Here is a 14,579-nt window from a genome sequence, read left to right as displayed (position 1 = left end):
TCTGAGCATCAGGTCTTTCATAGTACAACAGTGATTTTTGTGACCTTCTTTGTTGGTTACTTTTTGGTATAACAATAAATAGGATAATGCATGAAAATGCACTTAAAATGCAATGTGTGAAACCATGTGAAATAAAGAAAATCTGCTGTTCTCCAGTTTCAGCCTTTCGAGTGTCTGGAACTGATGATGTAGCCACAAATATCAAGATTGAATCTGGAGCCATCTTACCTAATATGGGATATCTGGTCAAATTCTTCCTGGCCCCATTCCCATTTTACTGATTTTCTTCTTTTGATTATCAAATATTTAGGACCTATTGTGGGTGACAAAAACCAGGGGTTCAAAGACATTTAAGACACTTGGCCTTATGAAGTAGCAACTTCTCTGTCTCCATCCACTTCTTGTTACTTCACAAATCTAGGTTGAGTAAAATGAAATAACGTAGCCCCTGAGTCTCCGCCTCCATGTCTAAAGGATGCCTTCTTGCTGCTGTTGCAGCTTCTGAATGATACTCAGCATCCCTTGAGTGCCTGAGTGCTTGGTTTGAGTGGATTGTGATGTTGAGGTTGAAAGCACTCTCCAGAGAAGGGAAGGGCCTTGTTCAAGGCCACACAGATGATTTAGTATCATGTTCTGAGCTCTTTGTCTTCTGCTGATTTGGTGACTGGTAAAGCTCAGGCCAAGGCTCTTTTTTCTCCAACACATGAGTTCTCATGAATTTTCATGGGTGCATCTTCTCTAGTATTGAGGGACCCACTGTTTAAAACTGTATCCATCTCCTCCTCACACCTGGAATTCCGTAAGCTGCAGTCTATATAAATAGACTTGGCTCTCTGCTATCAGGCTGCAATAGAGCATAGGGCTGGTATAGTGAAGACCACCATTTTAGTGCAAACTTGGGGAGGGACCATGGATAAGTCACTATATATGTGTGCATAAGTGAAAGTCAGAGTTTCTACCTTTTGGATGGCCTTTGGGTAACCTAGGAGGCTGTTTGTGAGAAAAAAGGAATGCAGGGGAAGATGTAGGATCCTGGAGTGGAATCCAAAAATATGGTGTCACCTGCCACCTTTTGTGTAACCTTGGGCAAATCCCCACATATCTTTCTTCTTCCATTTTCCCATTGGTAAGACGGTAATAATAATAAATATTTGTCTTAATCTGATGAGGGTTATGGAAGAAGCCAATATTGCTATAGCAGTCATGAGAGAAGAGGACGTGTGAAGTAGTTAAAATAATGTAGGCCAGGAGGTAAGTTCTGAGAAGAAATGGAAACGAGGAGAGGGGATGTGTGGGTGGTGTCAGCAGATGCAGATGTGGGAGGACTCACAGGGATTCTATCCTGGCTGTCTCTTCCAGGAGGCTGAAGGGTCCTGGTGAATAGTGGTGTTATATATGACTTAGAAAAAGGAGAGAGAAGGGGAGGATCTGCAGTGTCCAGAAAGAAGAGGGGAAGAGGAAAATTATTCTAGCCTGTTTGAAATTGGTAAACTTCTTTCCTTTAAGATTGGCTTACCTAAGAAGGAGAGAACAAAGACCATCAATGTATAAAGGGTGAGATAGAGAAATCAAGGAATAGTGAGTAATCCTTGAACCATCACTGGAAAAAAATCAAAGTGGAGGTTATCAATGGATTATGCTTTAGATTCTTTAACTATAAAGATTTGTGAGAATCTCTGTGAAAGCAGGAGAGAGGAAAAACATGCTTAAGGATGGCATTGTTTTCCTGGAAACTTCCACAGGATACTTTTACTTACGGGCCACACCTAGCTGTGAGGCAGGCTGAGAAATATAGTTTTTACTCTGGATGGCTGTATGCCCAGCTAAAATTTCGATTACTGTGGATAGTGGGAGACAACTAGAAGTCTCTACCACAAGGAATAAATAAGACAATGTAGGTAAAGCAATGAGCACAGTGTCAGGGTAGAGCAGGTACTTGATGTATGTCAACCATTGTTTCCACCCTTTACTTACATCAGAAAGGGAAAGGATAGCAAAGAGAGGGTGGGGTGGGGTAGAGTGAGTCCTGTGCCACTTTTGAAGCCCTGGGGAGAGAAGATGACACTTGTAACAAAGGCATGAAAAGGAAGCAAGAATTTTGCCAGAGATGGGAGGTTTACAGTTGCTTTTTTAGATTTCTGTTTGGAAAACTGGTGTTTCAAAGACAGATAATCAAAATGGAAATGTGCGAAGAGGGTACAGATAAGGCAGAAATATGTTTTTTTTAAATTTTATTATCATACTTTAAGTTTTAGGGTACATGTGCACAACATGCAGGTTTGTTACATATGTATACATGTGCCATGCTGGTGTGCTGCACCCATTAACTCGTCATTTAGCATTAGGTATATCTCCTGATGCTATCCCTCCCCCCTCCCCCAACCCCACAACAGTCCCCAGTGTGTGATGTTCCCCTTCCTGTGTCCATGTGTTCTCATTGTTCAATTCCCACCTGTGAGTGAGAACATGCGGTGTTTGGTTTTTTGTCCTTGCGATAGTTTGCTGAGAATGATGGTTTCCTATTGGATGGCTTCCTATGGATGGTTTCCTATTTGATGGTTTCCTATGGATGGCTTCATCCATGTCCCTACAAAGAACATGAACTCATCATTTTTTATGGTTGCATAGTATTCCATGGTGTATATGTGCCACATTTTCTTAATCCAGTCTATCATTGTTGGACATTTGGGTTAGTTCCAAGTCTTTGCTACTGTGAATAGTGCCACAATAAACATACATGTGCATGTGTCTTTATGTATTTACAGAGCACCTTGGGAGTGTTTTGCTTATGTGAATTCTAAGGGAGTATTAGACGATATGTGAGGAAGACTTTAAACTCTTAGGAAGAATGTAACTATGCAAATCAGAGTGTTGGCATTATTAATGACAACAATAGTTTTATTATACGTCAAGCACTTTGCCCTTCAAAAGAAAAAGGTTCTGCGAGTACAAAGAAGCATAGTAGCAGCAAAAGTGGGTTCCCAGTGGAGGGCACTGCCATTTCCCAGTGACCAGCGCACACCTTCTTTATCTGGGGCAACATGGAGGATTGGTTGCCATTTGAGTTATTGTTTAATTACAAGGCCAGAAACCCTCCCTTTTCCTCTCTCTCTTTCTTTTCTCTCCTTTGCTTTTCTCCTCTTTCTCTACCAGGAGGAAGATGACGTGCCTCTTTAGTCTTCAATTTCCTTTTTTCTCCTTTCGAATCCTTTGATCTAAGGAGGAGTGTTGGTTCTTGCTCTAGGCCACTGTGACTAGCAAAGTATTTTCTCAAAGCCCCTATTTAGCTTCTGCAAAAACGGAACAATATTACATTCCTGGGTGTATGTTCAGAACTAGGATTATGATAGGGGTAGCAGGAAGAGCACTGGATTTGGAAGTAGAATAAGCGTTTCTTACTTACTAATGCAGTTATTTTGGGTAAGTCATTTACCTTATATAAGCAATGATTTCTCCATTTTTAAAAGAAGTAATAGTTAAAAAAAACTAGGAGAGTATTTATGAGTATGAAATAATGGCTATGGAAGGGCTTTCAGATCAGTAAGGCTCTATACAGATGTTAACTGTTGTTATTATCTTATAGGGCAGAGTGGGATCCCAGTTAGGCAAGAGGTGGAGGTATAAGAATGTACTACAATCTGTACATCTTACAAATGCAAGAGTTTGTTTGCCTCTGCAAGTGTTTGCTCCTCTTTAGGCATAAGGATGTTTTATAGAGCCAACCATTTATTTAACAATTCCAACAGATCTTTATTTGAGTGCTTACTAAGTATAAGGTCCTGTCCTGGGCACCAGGCACAGCAATCCTTGACCTCCTGGAAAGAAGTCAGCTGAGGGAGACAGATAATAAATAAGTACACAAACAACTGAATTCATAATTCCAAATTGTGATGTGCTTAGAAGGGAGCTGACAGGATTGTGGTAGACAATTCAGTGATGTGGGCTGCAGGGAGCTGTCTTTGGTGGCCTTCTCTAGGATATGGCTGTCTTGAGCTGCAAGGAACTCAGTGGCATCTCTGGTCTTCCCTCTCATCTGTGGTTGGACATCCCACTCAAGTGTCCCAGCCCATCTTATTTTAGAAGAGCTGCCCTGAGTCATTGGCCCGCCCCTGCCTGCCTTTCACCCGAGCTGGGGAAAGCATCTCTGGGCCATGGGATCTGCCACTTCTGTGTCTCCCACCACCTGTGCCCAACTGAAGACAGAGGCTCCCAATTCAAGGGGGAACAGGCCCTTGTATAAGCCCTCATCCTGCCACAGGGGTCCTATCAGGGGTATGCAGGGGTGAGGGAAGGGATAGAGGCAGAGAAGACTATAGCCGACTTTGCCAGTTTCTGCAGTAGTCAGGCCAGCTGCTGGGATGCAGCTCCCGGGCCTGCAGGCTGAGTGAATTCCAGAAGCAATGATTTCGGGGGCGAGCTGGATTTTTATCAGGAAGCTAATGAAGCCTGCTTCCTTCCCATGCACGACTGCCTGGGACAACTTAGTGCTGCTTTAGGTGGCCCACTCAGCACCTGCCTTCTGGATCCGGTGTCTCTCAGGCGAGCCAGCGGAAGCTTTCTGGCACTTATTTGCTTTCTCAGCTTTAAAAACTCTGTCATCTGAGACAGACCAAGTAATTGCTATGAAATAATCTGGGAAGTCACATCTAGAGATGAAGGGTAAATGTAAGTTGCAGGCACTCACATTCTCTTGCTGCTCTAGGGTATAATGGTCCAATTTTGACCAGTGGAGAAGGCAACACCTTAAGGAGCAGCATGGTACAGGGAGGAAAGCTCTGGGCTGGGAGTCAGAACATTTGGACTGTGCTCCTCAGCAGATGGGTTACTGTAGGCAAGTCACTCCATCTCTCTGGTCTTAGTATGTTTATTGTAAAATGAGTGGGATAGGCTAGATGATGTCCCTCGACTGTTCCAGATCAAATAATGAGATTTCATACAGCATTTATAGATACATGCTTTGAAAACAATACTGCCCAACCTGTTATTTATTTATTTATTTATTTTTTAAAAGAATGTCCAGAAAAGGGAAATCAGAGGCTGATCCTCTGCTGGTGAAATGACATGTGATTCTACATTTCCTCTAGACTGCTGACTTAAATTCATTGTGATTGATGCATAGTTTCTGCAGAACGGAAAGGCCATCTCTGAGATCAGCCTCTGAGTGCTTCCTCATTGGTGGGTCCTAGCAAGTGACTCAGTGGTTTCTCCAATCACCAGCGGGCAAGGAGGAGGTGGCGAAGGTAGGCATTAGGCCAGGCCAGGCGGGCAGCAGGAAATGGTTGGAATTGTTGACACTTGCACCAACTCTTTGTTAAGCCTGTGGGACACTGCCCCTTGCATACTGTGTGACACCGCCCCTTGTGTACACTCGGCCAGTTTCTACCCTGCTCTGTGCTGTCCTGGAGGGTCTACTCCCAGAGAGTGTGTCACTCCAGGCTTCCCTGGCAGCCTGGGTGGTGGAGGAGAGGGAGGTCAGGGCACTTGTCACTGCTGCCTCTCTGCTTTGGCCCCTTGTCACATCCAGGACTAGGGTTTTTTCACAACTTCTGCCCTCACTACACTCTGGTAATGCTACTATCGCTGAGCCCTTCATCTCTAGGGAAATTAATGGCTTCCTGTTGGGTGCCTGTTCATTCTTTTATCCTGTCTACATTTCTATGGTTAGTCCCATACAGGGTGAGTTCTGTTTCTTGCCACATTTCTAACTGTTAAAACATCCAAACAGGGCATGAAAAGCAACAAGGAGTTAAGATTATATTTATCTGTGGTTGTCAACCATGGCTCCATATTAGAATCCCTTAGAGACCTTTAAAAATCCTGTGTTTGGGCTCAATTCCTACAAATTCAGATTTGATCAGTCTAGAGCAGGGCCTATGATTGGGATTGATGGTTACAATTTTTAAATTTTATTTATTTACTTATTTTTTGAAACAGAATCTCACTGTGTTGCCCAGGCTGGAGTGCAGTGGTGCAATCACAGCTCACTGCAGCCTCAAACACCTGGGCTCCAGGATCCTCCTGCCTCAGCCTCCTGAGTAGCTGGGACTACAGGTGGGAGCCACCACATCCAGCTAACTTTTTAATTTTCTGCAGAGACAGGGTCTCGCTATGTTGTTTAGGCTAGTCTCAAACTCCTGACCTCAAGAGATCCTCTCTCCTTGGCCTCCCAAAGTATTGGGATTACAGGTATGAGCTACTGCACCTCTGATTGATATATTTTAAAAGATGTTAATGTGTAGCCTGAGTTTGAAACAATCAGTACCTCTGATTAGTATTGATTGTTGGGGCTGGGGGAAATTCATCTTTTTCCTTTTCTTGGTGGCAAAGGCCCCCTCTTTTTTTCTTTTAAAATTTTTACTAGAGAGAGTTTGATATATACACAAAAGTAGGTTGAGTAGAGCAATGAACCTGCATGTACCCATCACTCAGATTCAACAGTTGTTAATTCAGAACTTCAACTGACTGTGATGTCCAACTTCAGATGACTGATGGCTGACTGGTGTCAGGCATGGCCTGTCAATCTGTAATGCAGCTTGTAAGAACACCCACAGATACAGGATGGATCTGGTGAGCGGTATTTGAAATCTTAAAGCAAGGAGTTTCTTATGGCAGGAGTGGACTCAGTTTACACTTTACCAGTTATATGGGGAAGTTTAATGGCATTGCACTATTAAACCATGCCAAAGATGACTTTCGAAGATTCTGATCTCAAATGTTGCTTGGTTTGACTTGTCTCTTAATGTAGATCTGGATGCTAGCTTCAGAGCCTCTTGGTAGGACATTTCTAGAAAGTAGAACGGTATTGTTGATGAAAAAAAGTGGCCTCAGTCCAAAGACAGATTTCCTTTTCTATAAAATGAGGAGGGAAAATTCCATGAGTGCCTAATGTTCTTTCTGGCAATGATACCAGAAAGTGAGTCTATGAACCTAAGAGAGTGAAAAATGTCAATAATCTTGAATGGTGTTGGTTGGGTTGGGGAAAAATTTGAAACAAACTTGCCACAGGTCAAGTGGCTTTCATGAAATTGACTTAATTACTTATCACTACTAAATGAAAATTGAATCTTTTCCTAAGACTGAATATCAAACACATGTGCCGAATTCCGGTTAGAAAAGTATGATTGTCATTTTTAGTGTTACCACTAGATGGCAGGGGTGCCCCACAGTGTTGGTAAAAACCACCCTGCATTTTCAGGTAAGGAGGATCTGAAGGAGAAATATACAACTTGCTTAATAATTTTTAAGTAATCATGTATAGGTTCAGCCATGGTTTGGGGAGGTAAGGTAGTGGGGTTTGGAGTGAAGATAATTTTTAAAGTAACATTGGGATTTTTCAGGAGGATGGCCTGACAGATGTCTAACCGTTTAGAAGTAAACCAGTGGCCCCACCTTCTGTTCTAACAAAGGGGGTACAGGTCGTGTGGTGTGTACTGGGGTAGGTTGACCCAGTGTGGACTTTACTGTCTCCTTGGAGAAGATGACAAATGGTGGCAATGGCTCGGAGGCAAGAAGGTCAATCCCTTGTGACAATGTCTAGTTGTTTTGAAAAGTAGGCTACAGGGCTCTTGATATTTTTTAAGTCATTAACATCCCTAAACTCATTTCTTGTGTCTTGTGTATGAACAAGTCAAACAGTTTTCTTAGGTTAGGGACTCTCAACGCTGGAGTTGTTAATATATATATTTTTAATGGTTAGAAAGATCTTTTGACATTTTCCAGTCTACTCCAGGGGTTCAGTATCTTTTTTTTGGTGGCAGGGGGTGGTTTTATAGAGAAGTTTTGCTGTAAGGCCAAAATTGGGAATCTAAATATGGGCAAAATCCAGTCATACTTAAAAACCCTCACAGTGTCACCATGTCACCGTGTTGTGGGTCTGGCCACAATGAAAAGAGCTTTTCTCCATCTTGAAGTAGATTTTTTTCTGTGCCTGAGAAAGTTTAAGTCTAAGATACCTAACTGAAGGGTTTTGAGATCTGGGTCTTTTCTTGGATACCTTACATCTGCATCTAGTCAGCTGTAGTATTCTGGTCAGAGTTTCTGTTGTTTACTAATATGTCCTCAACACACTGTAACAAAATCTCATTTTTAAATTGACTTCTTGAAGGTCTTTAACAAGTATTTTTCTCAAAATGATTGGTGAGTTTTTAAAGCCTCGGGGAAGTATTGTGTAGCAATACTGTTTAGCTTGTGTGTCAAGGTCTTATTATTTACAGGCAAATAGTTCTTGGGATTCTGGACTCGAGGAATATACAAGAAGGCACCTTTTTAGGTGTTAAGACTGAAAACCAGCAAAACTCACTGATGAGAGTTGTGAGTAGTGTGTGAGGATTGGGGACTGCCAGATGGATGTCTTTGAGGGTTTGGTTAATGGCCCTTAAATCCTGTATAAACATATATTCCTTAGTTTTCAGTTTTTGTACTGGTAAGATGGTCAATGAGACCTCCAAAGAGGCCTACAAATCAGGAGAAGAAAAGGGGGTGCTGGTTGCACACAGAAAGCTCACCAGAGATGTCTCCAGAGACCAGAAACTGTTTTTCTGCTGCAGGCAAGGTTCTGCGTTGAAGGTCGACACCACCCTGCCAATAGGGCAGCCCCTGGGGATAGCTCTTAGTTCAGGAGAAACAAGTGGCTGCCTGGGCTGTCTCTGGGTCTGCCCTAAAGGCAAGGGGGCCCAGAGATGTAGGCAAATGCCCAGAAGGCATGTGGTTCCTGGCTGACTCGCCACAGATTGCTGCAGCCTCAAATCCATTTTGTCAAAGGATTCTGGGCAAGAGGTTTTTTTTTTTTTTTTTTTTTGGAGTCTTGCTCTGTTGCTCAGACTGGAGTGCAGTGACGCAATCTCAGCTCACTGCAACCTTCACCTGCCAGGTCCAAGCAATTCTCCTGCCTCAGCCTCCTGAGTAGCTGGGACTACAGGTGTGTGCCACAATGCCTGGCTAATTTTTGTATTTTTAGTAGAGATGAAGGTTCACCACGTTGACCAGACTGGTCTTGAACTCCTGACCTCAACTGATCTGCCTGCTTGGCCTTGCAAAGTGCTGGGCAGGAGTTTTTAAGGGGATCATGGAGGGTGAGAGTCTGGAAAATTTGAGGTCATCGATTGGTCAGAGTAAGGAGGGTGAAATCATTATTATTATTTTTTTTAACGAGCTGGCTTTTTGCTGGGCCCTTCGGATCAGCTGGCATGGGTAGTTTTGTGGGTATGCAGAGCCTAATGGAGAAACTCAGTGGAAAGCTTATTATCTCACAACGTCTTAGGTTTCATCTGTAGAACAGAAAGAGAACAGTCTTGTGACAAGGGCTACACATCCCGGGGTAGTAAGCAGTGACAAGCCACAGGTGGGCCGAAGTGCATACTGGCTTCATGATAACTGTGGGTTGTGTTACAAGCCTAGTTGAATTTTATTTTGTATTTTATCCATTGATTTTATAAAATTTTCTTGGGGACAGTTTCAGAACTTTCTATCCCAGCAGAAAGGAATTTAATAAGCTTTGACGAAGTCTCCCTTGAAGATGCTTAGATGAATGACTTTCTTTTCCAGAGGTAGACACAGGCACTGTCTATTGTCAAGGCTGTGAACTGTGCTCCTAGTATTGCTTTAAGTAGAATTTCTTCTCCTTTCTGCATGAATTGCTGTTGACACTGTTGCAGCATCTTTGTAGCTGAGGGTCACCCATTGGAGAGTCTTGTCTCCGAGTAGAACGATACCTAAACCATCCAGGTGAAAGCTGCCTGGAATTAAGTAGAAAAAAGCCCACTAGCAACAGCCTTGTTTAAATGGTTGCTATCTTGCCTCTGCAGGAAGCCAAGCAGCGTTTAAAAAATGCAAAGTCAGCTAAGTTGGTGCAGTACAGAGAACTGATTATGAAAGCTTCACTATTCCATTCTGTCTCTTTAAATGAAATGATTTTCAAAACCTAAAAGTTTAGATGCCAAAGGAGAGGGAAGAAAGCCAAAGCTAAAGGGGGAAAAAATCACATTCCAAAAACAGGGGCTAATTTTACAACAAAAGGAAAAAATCAACTTTGAACTGCTTCAGTGGGCACAGAGGGAAAGTTGCTGCAGATCTGGGCTTCAGGGCTAGCCTGCAAAACATCCAGAGGACCCTAGTCACTGAACAGGAGCCTGCCAACCAAGGTGGGTTTAAGGTCCTCTCAGTTTGTTATAAACAACCTTTTTCCTGAGGATTCTAGGCCCCAGATTTGCATTTTCTTAGAGGACTTACTTTAGAAAACTTAATGTAAATTCTTTCTCTGCTCCTTTGAGATGTAACTCTTGTCCCTGCTGCCAGTTTTATAAGCCAGTAATTTGCTTCTAATTACTTATTTGCTCAATCCAGATGTCTTTTTCTGGGACTGATGATACCATCCCTTTGCTATATAGTCATCAAGAAAGATAGTGCCCCATCTCCCAGTCTTGGTGGGAACATAGGAGACTAACTATGATAAGTGTCAGTTAACAAACTCAGATTAATCTCATCACTAACCTGCTTCAAGCCCCTCCCATACATTTGCATGAATTCACCCCAGTACTCAACACCTCTCCTGCCTTTTGTTTCAGCAGTTGAGGTCATCGTTCTCCTTCTTGCAATAGTCTTGAATAAAGTCTTCCTTGCCTTTTAAACACTGGTGCAACTTTGCTTTGACTCTGCTCATTCCAAGTCCTTTCTCTGGGATCTGGAATCAGGACACCTCTGTGGAGCCACCTTTTCTCCCTAGATGGAACTTCCCTGGGAGATGCCCCACCAGCTTCTCTTCTAGGCTGAAAGAACCCACTTCCCACTTCTGTTCCCTCCCTCTTCCATCTGTTTCCCTGGAAATGCTCATACCAGTGCTTCCTTAGGAGAGATGACACAGGGAAAGTGAGGGAAAGGGCTACTCCAGCCCATCTCTTGCTGTTCCTTGGGTCTGATCTCTATTTCCATAAGCTTCTTTCCATTTTGTATTTTTCTTTTAAATATATATTTTAAATTCTTGGGCAGGGAACAAATTAGGAATGCTATGCATAGATGAGAGGGAGAACATCTCTTAAACAGATACCTTGGGATCCCTTGAGTAAGTGGCTCAATGGCTTTACTTTGAGAAATGTATGGTTCACTGGGTGGAGAAGATCCCACTAAGCATGGTGCTGAAGAGGTTGGGCTCTGGAGTCTGCCTGGATGGGCTGATTCTTATCTCTACTGCTTAGTGTGTGACATTGGGTGAGTTGCCTACGTCTCTCGCTGTGCCTCAGATTCTTCACCTGTAAAATCAGGGCTAAGAATAATAGTACTCATGTCATAGGGTTGTTGGGAGGATTACAGGCTTATTATGCAAAACGCTTAGTACAGTGTGCCTAGCATGGGTTAAGCATTCAGTACCTTCTTAGACATATTCATCATTATAATAAGAACTTTTTCCCCCCCAGAAGGATACACAAGCAGTTGCTAACAAAGTAACCTTTGGGAAGAAATAGAATAGGGAGGGAGATTTTTCCTTTTGATTTTGTACTTAATTGTACTGTTTCAACTTTTTAACCATCTACTTTTAAGATTTCAAATAACTAAACATTTCTCCCCTCTGGTAATTAAGGGAAAAAAACCTTAATTAAGAGCAGGAGAGAGAATTCTTGTCTAGAAATGATGCTTCAGTACATCAGTGCCATTTCATACTTAAGATTTAGTTTTGAAGAACCCATTTTAAATAATAGAAAACTAACCTCTGAAACAATTACATAATCCCTTCTTCTAAGACTTTTTGATTTGATTGACTTCAATGCAGGGTGGCACCATGGCCTGTTTCTGGGTGGAGGAAAAAATTGTATTGTTTTAAACCTGGTAAGAGAGGATGAGATTTGCCTTTGTTTAGAAAATTTTGCTATTAACTTCTTCAGGTATGAGAGGGTGTTCCTGCTCACCCTGCCTCCTTGCCCCTGCTGGCATAGTGGAGATAAGAATTATTTCTCTTTAAAAGGAGCTGGCAGCCATTTTAGATTCCCATGGGCAGTTCAGAAGTGAGGGGTAAGGAGCTGAGAGATGGGAAGGGTAAGAAAGTTGAGCAGGGTGAGGTTCTTGTTGGAAAGGGTAAGGAGGTCTTTAGAACAAAGGGGTCTCAGATTTGATTTTAAATGATCTGCTGGGCAGTAATATCCCTTCACCATCATTGTTCCAGGTAAGTACTCTCATGTAAGGATTTTGGGGAAAATGAAGGAAAGATACGAGGGGAGGATTGACTTAAGTAAGATAATTATTCAGGGGAAGGAGGAAATCAAATCTAGAAGTGTCAAGGGAATAATGCAACCTCTGAGAGGTACCAGTGATACTGAGTTTCCTCTGTGTGCGGGGGTGGGAGACTGTACCCATTTCCATTTAAATACTGTTGTAGAGACTTCTAATTGTCCCCCTTCCCCAATATCTATTCTTGGTTTTAATAGAACCCGCCCCCCGCCCAATTCCTCCAGTTTGCCATAACTATGCTGCTGGGGACTGCATTTGCCTTGCAGCTGGATGTATCGTTTTGACCATGCATCTTGCCAAGGAAGAGTGAACAGAATGAGCAACATGTGCAGTTTCCCTTTTACTTCCTTGAAAGGAAATGATTTGTCTTTCATTTCTTCTTTTCTACCTTTCCATGATCTAGAACATGGAAATGGCGGTAAGTTCATTTTGACTACTTGGGTAACGACAGTACTTAGAAGGCTTGTTAAAGCACAGATGGCTGGGCCCCCAGAATTTCTGATTCAGTAAGTCTGAGGTAGAATCCCAGAAATGTGCATATTTAACTAGTTCTTGAGTGATGCTGGTCCTGCTGGTTCAGGGAGCTCAGGAGATGGCAGAACAACAAAGCAGAAAGAGCCTGAGTCCCTGGATGCTCCTGTCGAGCTGAGCTACCTAACCTCTTGTGTCACCTCCAGACTGTTGCCATGAGGGTGGAGTAAATGTCTATTTATTTTGAGCCATGGTATTTGTGTGTCTCTCTGCTTTGGAGCTGAACCTGTCTCTTAATGCACATATTACAGGTAAGGGTTATACAGCAAGGCTGGAGGACGTGGGGAGTCACATGTGGCTGGCTTTTAGGTTCAACATGGGTGAATTTATTTGGAAAAACAATAAAACAAAGGCAATTGCTTGTTTAATAATGACTTCTTTTTTGGGTTATCACAGGTAGGCAGTAGACTGAAAACATTCTTTCCACATCTGCACCAGTGCTTGTTTTCTTGCCTTGGGAAAAATCTAAAAACTTGCATGTTCTTGTGTTCTCATTTGTTAAGTGGTGTGTGTGACTTTAGTGTTGTTGTCCAGAGAGGGGTACTTTGGGTATCGTCTTAGAAATTCTTGTAAATTTAAACATTTCCTGAATGTTTCCTAGATACCACATACTATGTACTCTATATGCATTATATCATTAATTCTCTCAACAGCCCTGTGAAGAAATGTTACTATTATTTCTATTTTGCAAATGAAGAAACTGAGATTTGGAGGAAACAAGCAGGTCAAGAATCCATTCCAGGCCTGCCCATGGCCTGAACTACTTGGCAATATTCTCTCCTCCTGGCAAATGACCCATTTGCACGATCATTTTCAGACTCAGTGCATTGGGCCTAACATTTTTTAACAATAGGGTTTGGCTATTCTGTTTTGCATTGTTATGAAGGAATACCTGAGACTGGGTAGTTTATAAAGAAAACAGGTTTATTTGGCTCATGGTTCTTCAGACTGTACAAGCATGACACCAGCATCTGCTTGGGTTCTGGTGAGGCCTCAGGAAGCTTTTAGTCATGGTGGAGGGGAAGGAGAGCTGGAGTGTGACATGGCAAGAGAGGGAGCAAGAGATAGAGGAAGAGGTGCCAAGCTCTTTTTAACAATTAGATCTCACATGAACTCATAGAGTGAGAACTCACTTATTACTGTGGGGAGGGCACCAAGCCATTCATGAGGGATCTGCCCTCATGACCTAAGCCTAAATGCCTAAACCTCATGACCTAAATGCCCGTCTCCATCATTGGGGATCATATTTCAACATGAGATTTGGAGGGGACAGGCATCCATGCTGTATCAGTGTGTGTTTTCAAATGCAAATATTATTTTTTCCCCTGAGCCGTCAGCCTGACATTGCACAATCTAGCCTGCGGTATTTAGGCTCTAGAACCTGCTGTGGGAACTGTTAGTTGGAAATAAGCAAAGGGCATGGAGTTTAAAGGGGGAAAAATGGCTTTGGGTTGCCTGGATTTAAGGCTATGAGAATTTACTACCCTATGAGAACATTGGATTCCATTACAGTGTTGGGTTTAGTTAGTAATCACCTGTCTATGGGGGAAACAATGAGGAAGCCCATCTGGCAGGTTTTAAGCAGCAGCTGTGGTAATTTTCCAAGTTGCCTGCCTCAGGAGCAATGTTAACCCCAACAAAGGCCAGCGTGAGAGGAAACATTAATCCTCAAAAAAACAAATCCATATATCTCTACAAAAACCCCTCTTGGTTCTTGGTTTCCAGGGGCTTCTGAGAATCAGTTTTCTCCAGGGGCTTCTGAGAATCAGTTTTCTCTTCAGACTCCTGTTGTTTTCTTCAAGATTTACATGTTCTGTTTCCCATTCCCTCAC

Source organism: Homo sapiens, chromosome 2 (genome assembly GCF_000001405.40).
Source record: "Homo sapiens chromosome 2, GRCh38.p14 Primary Assembly".
In the NCBI taxonomy this organism is placed as follows: Eukaryota; Metazoa; Chordata; class Mammalia; order Primates; family Hominidae; genus Homo; species Homo sapiens.
Note: the sequence above shows the minus strand (reverse complement) of the source record.